Source organism: Homo sapiens, chromosome 17 (genome assembly GCF_000001405.40).
Source record: "Homo sapiens chromosome 17, GRCh38.p14 Primary Assembly".
Lineage (NCBI taxonomy): Eukaryota > Metazoa > Chordata > Mammalia > Primates > Hominidae > Homo > Homo sapiens.
The window spans coordinates 43,338,373-43,349,001 of record NC_000017.11 but is presented as its reverse complement, the minus strand read 5'-3'; the positions used below and the strand labels follow the sequence as shown (position 1 = coordinate 43,349,001).

Genomic DNA, 10,629 nt, shown 5'->3' with positions numbered 1-10,629 from the left:
GGAGAATTACTGAAAGTATTAAAAGTCTCTGAAATGCAGAAATAATGGCGTAAGCTGTCTCTCCTCTCTCCACCTGGGCTGCCAAACAGGGAAGGGCCCCCTTTCCAGTGTACATGTGACCCACGTGACCTTACCTATCACTGGAGATGGCTCACACTCCTTACCCTTCCCCCTTGTCTTGTATCCAATAAATAACAGCACAGCCTGGCATTTGGAGCCATTACCGGTCTTTGTGTCTTGGTGGTAGTGGTCCCCTGGGCCCAGCTGTCTTTTCTTTTATCTCTTTGTCTTGTGTCTTTATTTCTATGATCTCTCGTCTCCGCACATGGGGAGAAAAACCCACAGACCCTGTAGGGCTGTCCCCTACATCTGGCGCCCAATGTGGGGCTCTCCCTCGCTGTGTGAAGTTGCACTTTGAGCATGGGACTCAGTGGAGGATTTTGACAAAAGATTCCTGAGGATTGCGGTTGACAAGCTTGGTGGTAAGCCTGAGCACTCAGAGTATCCTGGGGACACCATGGGACAGGCCAGTACTAAGTACTCAGCTTATTTAAATTTTATAAAAACTCTCCTTAAAGAAGGAAGGGTTAAAGTTTCTACTGATAAGTTAATTGAACTGTTTGAGGTTGTGGATCTTCTTTGCCCTTGGTTTCTGACTGAGGGAACTTTAGAACTTAAGGATTGGGATGAGATTGGCAGACAATTCAAAATTGCCCATAAAGGGGGACATTTTATTCCACCCACCATTTGGTCAATCTGGGCTTTGGTTTGCTGTCCTAGACTCCTTACAGACTCAGGAGGACAATACAGAGACTGATCCCTGTTTCCTCTCCTCTGATGAGGTTGAGGAAGTTCTCAGTTCTCTTTCCCCTGAGGATACTGCACAGATTGAGACCATAATTTTACAGGCAGACTTCCACTCTGACATTCCTTTGGTGCTACCACGTACGCCAGAGCCTACTGCACCCCAGTTATTACTTTATGATGAACTTTTAACTGACCTGAATGAACTTATTTCCCCCAACTAGCAAAACGCAGCTGAAATGTATCAGCAGCCATTGCAGCCAGACCCTCCTGCCTTTCCTCACCCTCTCAATGCTGCAGCCATGCAGATAGCAGATGAGATCAGGTGGCCTGAAAGCAGGGCTCTAAATTATGTTTCCATGCAGCTCGATAGCCCAGAGTACAGAGGCTCTGATATCTATACAGCCTGATGAGGAGGCTTTCAATTCTCGGCCCGGTAATGAGGCCCTCAGCCCTATCCCTCCACAGCCTAGTTTTCTTATGCCTGGTTCCTTTTCTGCTAATCGGATTCCCTTGGAGTCACAGGCTCCCTTGAAGCCTGGTTCTTTTTCTGCTAATCGGACTCCCTTGGAGTCACAGGCTCCCTTGAAGCCTGGTTCCTTTTCTACAAATCAGGCTCCCTTGAAGCCTCAGGCTCTCTTGAAGCGTGGTCCACAGTTGCCGTGGCAGCCTGGATTTCAGGCCCATGAAAGACCTGCTCAGCAGGTAATCTGGTCTCATCCTGGCCTTCGGGTTCTCAACTCTTCCTTCTTTCAAAATTCCAACCGTTTTTCTGCTCCTCGTCTGGTCGCTACTGCTGTTGCCAATACTACCATTGCCACTCATAAGCAACAAGTTACATACATCCCTGGAAATGACACTCCGCTTATGAGGGCTATAGTTCAGGCAAGGGAATATGGGGATCCTGGTGCCTGGTAATTTCTTGTAATTTTACACCCTCCAGTACCTGCCACCCCAGGGTCACAAAATCACCCACAGCCCATTCATCCTGCTCAGCAGGCGGCTGATCCTGCAGCTCATCAAGATCAACAGCCTGATAATCAAGCCCCTCAGCCGGACAATCAGGCTGCTCAGGGAAATAATCAGGCTCCACAACTGCCTTCCGCTGGGGCACAGCCAGTACCTGGTATTCCAGCAGTTCAGACAGTAGTTCAACCTGACCCCATACTTCTAGCTCAGGTTCAGCTACGCCCTGCTCCTTGGGAAAGTTTTTCTAAATTCCTCAAAGATTTCAAGGAATCAGTAAAACAATACAGCATCAACTCTCCTTTTGTCCGTTCCACATTAAAAGCCCTAGCAGAAGATAAATAAACGTTTGGTGCCCTATGACTGGGAGATTTTAGCAAAGTCAGTCTTATCTATTTTTTTTTATTTTTATAAGTTTTTATTTAAAAGATTCCCTTTTTAATCTGTTCCAAAGTGTTGGAAGCTGAACTATACAAGTTCCTGCCACCCATCCTTCCAGTACAGTTTTATGAGGACATACTTTTTAAATGGAAAAATAACAGGAGGACCCTCTAACTGAAACCAGGTAGGCCCAGAGTGAGCTCCTCAGGCCCCTGTGGCAGCCTGGCCAAAGCTGGCCTTTATGGAGCCAGTGCGTGGAGAAGTCTGGGGAACCGGGGCCCTCCCTCTTGTGAGGAAAGGGTTGAGCAAACTCATGTTCTCTTTAGTGAAATGGTCCAAATTCAGATCCAAAAACCTCCATTATGGCATTCCCTGGCACTCTTCTTATACTTTATACATTGAAGGCAGCTCCCTCTTTTATGGCCAGTATAAGCAGGCAAAGAAACAAAGGAATATAGATACATATATGTGTATATATATATATTTTATATAGGTAAAATATATACATATTTTATATATGTATATATACATATTTGGGGGTAGGGAAAGGAGAGGAGGGTCATGTAAACCTAAACAGTCATCACATTACCCCAAATGAGCCTGACTTTGACAAAAAGATAATAAATAACTCCTGGGGGTTAAGTGACAACATGGGTGCAGCAAGAAGGGAAAGGGCACAAATTTAACTATTAAATACACTTTGATATTTGTTTGGCAGAGTTCAGGCCAACCCCAGGCTTCTGCCCTTGCCAGACAAGTAAGCTGATGATATTCAAAGAAAAAAATAAAAATATTAAAAAAAAAAAAATTCAAGCAGAGCTCCATACCACAGTTTTCCTTCAAGTCAGTTGGCCGGCAGGCAGTTTCCCGACCACCAGGAACAGAAACTTTGGCTCCAAGGCAAATGAAACAAACAAACAAAAAAAAGTATTTCCACTTACAACATGAAAATACAGAAACTTCATCAAAGAAAGAAAACTATCAAAGAAGTCTACTTCCAGCAAAACTGAGGTAGCACTGCTTTCTCCGCATTCAATGCTTAAGTGGTTCTCAGTACAACGTGTTCTTAAAAAATGCTCACTTGACTGAAAGTCAGTCTTATCTAAATCCCAATATTTACAATTCAGGACTTGGTGGGTTGATGCTGTCCAGGAACACATTCATCTTAATCAGGGCTCCAATCCTCCTGTTAACGTTACAGCTGACCAGTTACTGGGAATGGGTCAGTGGGCTACAATTAGAAACCAAACTATAGTAAATGATGTGGTTATTGAACAACTGTGGAAATGTTGCTTAGATGCTTGGGAAAAGATTCAAGATGATGGCAAAGTATGCCCATCGTTTGCGGCAGTCAGACAGGGACAACATGAACCCTACCCAGACTTTATTGCCCATCTCCAAGACGCAGCAGAAAAAGCTATCCCTGAGCCACGGCCATTGACTTGTTGTAGAACTCATGGCTTATGAACAAGCAAATCCAGATTGTCAGGTGGCTATTCGCCCTGTTAAAGGTAAAATTCCATGGGTGTGTGTGTGTGTGTGTGTGATATACTCACCTCCTACATTAAAGCCTGTGAAGGTGTGGGAGGAACTCTGCACACAGCAATGATCATGGCACAAGCCATGGCCTCTATTCGAACGCCTGGACAATTCACTGGCCAATGCTTTATATGCGGCCAGACAGGACATGCTAAAAGAAATTGTCCCCAGTGTACATGTTGCCATTCTTTTCAACCCCACCACCACCAACAACAAAAAATTTTTCAACAACAGAAAGTCCCACCTTCTACTTTATGCCCACGATGCCAAAAGATAAATCACTGAGCTGCTCAATGCCATTCGAGATTTGATATTGATGGTAATCCTTTACAGTCGCTTAACAACCAGGGAAATGGAACGAGGGGCTGGCCCCAGGCCCCTCTAAACAATGGCGCATTCCTCAACTCCCAGCCCCTGGCATCCAGCCAGATGGGTGCCTTCCCAGTCCAATCGATTCAACCTCCACCCCAATTCCCACTTCAGCAATTTGTGCCACAGGATCTAATGGCCCAGCCCCAGCAGGAATCTCAGTACAGTGTTTGTCTCCTGCCACTGCAGGCTCAGCAGCAATAGATCTCTCTTGTACCAGAGACATTTCTCTGTTGCTTGGATAGCTGCCTATTGCTGTTCCTAGAGGTGTTTTTGGTCCCTTACTGACTGGCAGTGTCAGTTTGCTACTTGGTCATTCAAGTCTAAATTTAAAAGGTGCTCAAGTACATACTGGTGTAATTGATTCTGACTATTCAGGTGAAATTCATATTGTCATTAGCTCTGCAGTCCCTTGGAATGTGGCAGCTGGGGACGGCATTGCTCAACTTCTGATACTCCCTTACATTCCTTTAGGATCCAGTTCTTGTATGAGAAACAGAGATTTTGGTAGCACAGATTATCAAGGCAAAGTGGCTTATTGGGCCAGCAAAATTTCTGACACTCATCCTGTGTGCTCTGTGCATATTCAAGGGAGGAAGTTTGAGGGAATGATTGATACGGGTGCTGATGTTTCTATTATTGCTTTACATCAATGGCCCCAACACTGGCTAAAGGAGCATATGTCCACAGCATTAGTTGGTGTTGGTGACGCTTCAGAAGTATATGCAAGCTCCACAATTTTACATTGCATGGGCCCTGAAGGACAAATGGGAACTATCTGCCCCCTCATTACACCCATTCCTGTTAACCTGTGGGGAAAAGATCTTTTATATCAATGGGGGACATAGATTTCTTTTCCACAAGGCAGTTACAGCCAGCAAAGTAAAGACATTATGACAAAAATGGGATTTGTTCAAGATATGGGCTTGGGAAAATCAGCACAAGGCATCACCGAGCCTATTATACCTACCCATAAACCAGATTCTACAGGACTTGGTTATTCTTTTTAGAAGTGGTCACTATCAAGTCTCCAGATCCCATCCCTTTGACTTGGAAAACTCAGAAACTGGTTTGGGTAGATCAGTGGCTGCTCCCAAAAAATAAGCTGGAGGCACTTCATATTTTGGTTCTTGAACAGTTAAAATTGGGTCAAACCCTCTTTTTCTCCCTGGAATTCACCTGCCTTTGTTATCCAAAAGAGGTCTGGTAAGTGGAGAATGCTTACTGATCTTAGGGCAGCAAATGCTGTCCTTCAACCTATGGGGACATTACAGCCTGGTTTGCCCTCCCCCACTATGATTCCCAAGTATTGGCCACTTATCATCATTGACCTTAAAGATTGCTTGTTTTACATTCCTCTGGCCCCTCAGGACTTTGAAAAATTTGCTTTCACAGTTCCAACCCTTAACAACATCCCTCCTGCAGCACATTACCATTGGAAAGTCCTACCTCAAGGTATGCTTAATAACTCTACTATTTGTCAATATTATGTGGGGACCATACTAAAGCCAGTAAGAGATCAGTTTCCCCAATGTTATGTCATTCATTACATGGATGATATTCTTTGTGCAGCACCTTCACGCTCTGTATTAATATCTTGTTTCTCTGCAGTACAACAAGCAGTTGCAGCAGCTGGTTTGGTTATCGCTCCAGAAAAAATTCAGACTTCTTCCCCTTATCACTATTTAGGAATGCAGCTAGAGGACAAGGTTATTAAGCCCAAAAAAGTTCAATTCAGATGAGATTCTTTAAAAACTCTAAATGATTTCCAAAAATTACTTGGAGATATTAATTGGATTCATCCCTCCTTAGGCATTCCTACATATGCTATGTCTAATCTTTTTGCAACGTTACGGGGCAATCCTGATTTACACAGCAAAAGGTCTCTGACTCCTGAGGTGGATTCTGAATTACAACTTATAGAAAAACGCATTGAACAGTCTCAGGTTACCAGAGTGAATCCACATTTACTTTTTGAAATACTAATTTTTCCTACTGAACATTCACCAACAGGACTCATTATTCAGGGACATAATTTAATTGAATGGTGTTTTCTTCCACACAGCTCTTTACGGACACTTACTATTTACTTAGATCAAATTTCTATCTTAATTGGTCAGGCTCGTTCTCGTCTCCTTCATCTTTTGGGTACAGAGCCCAAAAAAATCATTGTTCCCCTCACCCGATTACAAGTCCAACAGGCTTTTGCAACCTGCATCTCTTGGCAAGTACATTTGGCAGGTTTCCCGGGTATAACTGATAATCACTATCCTAATGTAAAATTATTTCAGTTCCTTAAACTCCTTGGATTTTGCCTAACATTACTAGAAACACCCCATTAGCTGAAGCTGCCACTGTTTTTACTGATGCTTCCTGTAATGGCCGAGCAGCATATATGGGTCCAAGAGAACATGTTCTTAACACAGGAGCTATTTCAGCACAGTGAGCTGAGCTGTTTGGTATCATGGCTGTTCTTGAATATTTCCCTGAAGCAGTTAACATTGTTTCTGATTCGGCGTATGTAGTACATGTTGCTCACAACATTGAAACTGCCTGAATCAAATTTCTGCCTGATGACAACCTACTTTTTCTTTTCCAAAGGTTTCAGTCCATACTCAGATCAAGGTCTTCTCCTTCCTACATTACTCATATTCGGGGTCACACAACCCTCCCCAGACCTCTCTTGGCAGCAAATGCCAGAGCTGATACATTACTTGCTCCCGTTTTTACATATGCAGAAAATTTTCATACTTTAACTCATGTCAATGCTGTGGGACTCTGAAAAAAGTTCCCCCTCACATGGAAACAAGCTAAAACCATTGTATGTCACTGTCCTACTTGTCAAGTGTTAATTTTACATCCACTTTCTTCAGAAGTTAACACTAGAGGACTTTCACAGAATGCTCTCTGGCAAATGGATATGACTCATTATGCTGCTTTTGGCAAGCTGTCTTTTATACATGTAACTATTGATGCTTTTTCTCATTTTGTCTGGGCCACTTGTCAAACAGGGGGAAAGTATGGCTCATGTTAAATGACACATACTTTCATGTTTCTCGGTTATGGGCTGTCCCAAGAAACTAAAAACTGACAACAGCCCCAGCTACACTAGTGCTGCTTTTAAAAAGTTCACTCAGACATGGGCAATTACTCACACAACTGGCATCCCCTATAACTCTCAAGGACAGACCTTGGTGGAACGAGCCAATAAAACACTCAAAGAGCAACTTCGGAAACAGGACACTAAAACAGAGGGATGCTGCTACCCCTTATGCTCAGTTAGTTAAATCTGGCTGCTTTTATACTGAAATTTCTTAAACCTACTAAGAAATCAACTTTTTACAACAGCAGAACAACATTTCACTGGAAATAAATTTGATCCACAAAAAGGAATGCACGTATGGTGGAAGGATGCAAAAACTAACAAATGGGAATTAGGCACTGTCGTAACATGGGGTAGGGGTTTTGCTTGTGTTTCCCCAGGAAAAGGACAACAACCTGTGTGGGTTCCCTCCCGACAACTGAAATTGCACCATAACTCCCAAGAAGAAACACTCCCAGAAACAAAAGGCAAAGACCCCTCTGAAACCAAAGAGCAAGTATCACCGCCTGACACATAAACTTCATGACCTCGACATTGAGACAAAATCTCGCCGTGTGACCTACAACACCACTCATTTAACTCCACCAACTTGGGGTCAAATAAAGGTCTTATCCCATCAACAGAAAAATCATTAAGAGAAAAATGAATCCCCAAAACGACAGGTAATATAATTCTGGCTGCCTTTATGGTAGTCAGTGCAGTGGTGAGTATACCACCAGTTTGGGCAACTCAAAATTATACCTACTGGGCATGTGTTCTTTTCCCCCTTTAATTCAGTCTGTCTCCTGGATGGACTCCTCAGTAGAAGTTTACACTAATAATAGTGCATTCATGCCGGTCCCTAATGATGATAGGTTTCCAGCTCAACCAGAATAAGAAGGTATGCACTTTAATCTGTCAATTGGCTATAAATATCCACCACTATGCACTGGGATGTCGCCTGGCTGTTTAGTTTATTCTTACCAGAATTGGATGTGGACAGTACCGTCCTTTACAAATGATTCTTATCAAGTACATAATGTGTTCAGTAGCAATTCTTTTCAACTTCTGTTAAACTTAATCCACAAGAGGAATGGTGGGTTCTGGTCACTACTAACAGCAATAAAACAAAAGGACTGCCAGACTGCCCAAAGGAATCTACAAAGGGACCTTTTCTGGTGAATTCAATTTTATGGAATAATTGTAATGCCATTATTGGCGGGATTGCTCCAGCCAGAATACGACATGCTCAGAGTTCAATTATTTGTTACAATATTAGAGGACGGATGGCAGTCCTACAGGTTGAGAGAATGGGTGTCTCCTTACCCATTCAAATGGATGAACACAGGCATTGTTCCTTCTAGACCAAAAATGATTCATCCCATTGTTACCCCAGAACATCCTGAATTATGGAAATTAGCTGCAGCTATGACAGGAATAAGGATATGGAGTGCTACCTATCAACTCTCTCCCACTAATATCAAAACACCCACATTCAACATCACCTTGATGTCTGAACAGGTGATACGTATCAGGAGCTGTGTCAAACCCCCTTACATGCTGTTGGTTGGAAATATAATTATCATTCCCAATACACAAAATATAGAATGTGATAATTGTAAGCTGTTCATGTGCATTGATGCTACTTTTAATCCCACAACAAGTATTCTATTCGTAAGGGCTAGGGAGGGGGTATGGATACCAGTTTCTTTACATCATCCATGGGAGTCTTCCCCCTCTATACACATAGTCAATGAAGTTCTTAAAGGTATCCTGAAAAGAACAAAGTGATTTATTTTTACTGTTATTGTAGTCATTGCAGGTCTAATTGCGGTTTCTGCAACAGTGGCAACCGCTGGAGTTGAGATCCACAGTTCTGTTCAAACCACTCAATATGTTGAAGCATGGCAAAAAAACTCCTCCAGACTTTGGAATTCTCAGACTCAAATTGATCAAAAGTTAGCTAATCAAATTAATTATCTCCACCAAAGTGTAATATGGCTGGGAGATACAGTTATGAATTTGGAACACCGTATGCAATTACAATGTGATTGGAATACTTCTGATTACTGTATAACACCTTATGCTTATAATAAAGATCAGCATAGCTGGGAATCGGTCTCAAGACATTTAAAAACCTGGGATGATAACTTAACCTTGGATATTTCAAAACTTAAAGAACAAATTTTTGAGGCTTCACAGGCTCATTTATCCACTGTTCTGGGCTCAGACATTTTTGAAGGAATAGCTAAAGAATTATCTGATCTTAATCCCTTTAAATGGATCAAACCCCTCAGAGGATCATTGTTGTCACTGGCATTATTAATATTGGTATGCTTATGTTGTCTACTTTTAGTCTGCAGATCCCGCAAGGAATCCGAAGACAAGTCCAAAGTCAACGACAAGCAATGATGGCAATGGTGATCCTAGTTAATAAAAAGCGGGGAGATGTGGGTGGCAAGCCACCCAGGTGCCGAGGCAAGAGACCGAGAGCACGAGCTGTTCCAGTGTAATAAAATATATAAAATAACAAGAGTTATACTGATATAGCTCATAGATATGATTATATATAAATACCATTAATCATTAGTTTGTAGTAATTACTCTTTATTCAAATATTATAATAATCCTCACTCTACAATCATAACCTAGAAAAAGGCAGGCCATGCAGAGATAGGAGCTGAGGGGACATGGTGAGAAGTGACAAGAAGACAAGAGTGTGAGCCTTTTGTTATGCCCAGGCAGGGCCACCAGAGGGCTCCTTGGTCTAGCAGTAATGCCAGCGTCTGGGAAGATGCCCGTACCAAGCGGACCATGGTCTAGTGGTAGCGTCAGTGCCAAGGAAAAGCACCTGCTACTGAGCAGACCAGGAAAGGGAGTCTCCCTTTCCCCAGGGGAGTTTAGAGAAGACTCTACTCCACCATCTCTTATGGAGGGCCTGACATAAGTCAGGCCTGCCTGCAGTTATCCAGAGGCCTGACCGTCTCCCTGTGATGCTGTGCTTCAGTAGTCATGCTCCTGGTCTGCTTTCATGTTCCATCCTGTACACCTGGCTCTGCCTTCTAGATAGCAATAGCAGAATTACTGAAAGTATTAAAAGTCTCTGAAATGCAGAAATAATGGTGTAAGCTGTCTCTCCTCTCTCTCCGCCTCGGCTGCCAAACAGGGAAAGGCTCCCTTTCCAGTGGATGCATGACCCACGTGACCTTACCTATCATTGGAGATGGCTAACACTCCTTACCCTGCCCCCTTGTCTTGTATCCAATAAATAACAGCGCAGCCTGGAATTTGGGGCCACTACTGGTCTCCACGTCTTGGTGGTAGTGGTCCCCCAGCCCCAGCTGTCTTTTCTTTTATCTCTTTGTCTTTTGTCTTTGTTTCTATGATCTCTTGTCTCCGCACACGGGGAGAAAAACCCACAGACCCTGTAGGGCTGGCCCCTACAGGCTCTCAACTGTGTCTCTGTTCAGCCCTGCTGTAGGGCTCTC

General features: G+C 43.2%; 1 annotated feature.

Annotated features, from left to right (window-relative positions):
* Window positions 9,894-9,943: a silencer, noted in NCBI's record as "silent region_8551". NCBI's record gives its function as "represses an Ori minimal core promoter by ATAC-STARR-seq in GM12878 lymphoblastoid cells {active_cell/tissue: GM12878}" and the evidence as "EXISTENCE:reporter gene assay evidence [ECO:0000049][PMID:35858748]".